Source organism: Homo sapiens, chromosome 17, assembly GCF_000001405.40.
Source record: "Homo sapiens chromosome 17, GRCh38.p14 Primary Assembly".
In the NCBI taxonomy this organism is placed as follows: domain Eukaryota; kingdom Metazoa; phylum Chordata; class Mammalia; order Primates; family Hominidae; genus Homo; species Homo sapiens.
Window position 1 is genome coordinate 30,640,681 of NC_000017.11, and position 1,245 is coordinate 30,641,925.

Below are 1,245 nucleotides of genomic sequence, written 5' to 3' on the forward strand. Positions count from 1 at the left end.
AGGCTCATGCTACCATACCCAGCTAATTTTTAATATTTTTTTCTGTAGAGATGGAGTCTTGCTATATTGCCCAGGCCAGTCTCGAACTCTTGGGCTCAAGCAATCCTCCCGTCTCAGCCTCCCAAAGTGCTGGGATTATAGGTGCGAGCCACCACGCCCAACCAGTTGCTTAATTCTTACAACAGCCCTCGGAGGTAGGTTCCATTGTTAGCCCCAATCTTATTTATTTAGATGGAGTCTCACTCTGTTGTCCAGGCTGGAGTGCAGTGGCATGATCCCAGCTCACTGCAACCTTCGCCTCCTGGGTTCAAGTGATTCTCTTGCCTCTGCCTCCTGAGTAGCTGGGATAACAGGCACAGGCCACCATGACTGGCTCATTTTTTTTTTTTTTTTTTTGTATTTTTAGTAAAGACAGGGTTTCATCACGTTGGCCAGGTTGATTTTGAATTCCTGACCTCAAATGATCTGCCCACCTCGGCCTCCCATAGCCCCAATCTTTAAATGAGGAAATTGAGGTGCAGAGAGGGTCGGCCACTTGCCAAATGGGAAAAGCTAGAATTCTAACCCAGACCATTTGCCTTCAAAACCTACCCTGACCACCACAGTAACCTGTGATAAGGTGCAACTCAGAGTAAATAACCTCCTCTCTGGGCCCTGATGTCTCTCTACCTACAATGGATTTCCTGTTCCTGTGTGGGGAGGGAGGTGCAACACCAGCCCCCGAGCTTTGAGCCTTGCCTCGTCCTCCCTGTATATTAAGGAGTGCTCAGATGTGGCTGTAGCTGCACCTCTTTCTCCAAGATGGAGCCCACCCAGAGATGCTGTGTGCAAAAGGCTTGACTCATAGCCGGCGCATAATATGCCTTCAATAAATGTTTGAAATTATTATTCTCGATGGTGTCACGGTGCTGGCTGAAAGGCAGCATAGCTCAGCAGTTAAGCCAGACGGTCCGGGTTCAAATCCCATCTCTACCATGTAATAGCTGTGTGACCTTGGGTAAGTTACTCAACCTCTCTGTTCCCCCATCTATAAAATGGGGGAAATGACACTATCTATTTTATAGAGCTATTGCAAGGATTAGCATAGAAAATGCCTCAACCGTGCCTGCCACTGATGTCAGGTTTTATTATTGCTGTAACACTTTCCCCTATTCAGAGTTTCATCTCCTAGATCCCCGGGCACGGCAACAGCTGGCTTTCAGATCAGGGCCTCCCTGGGAGGTTTTAGTCTCAGCACAAGTCACC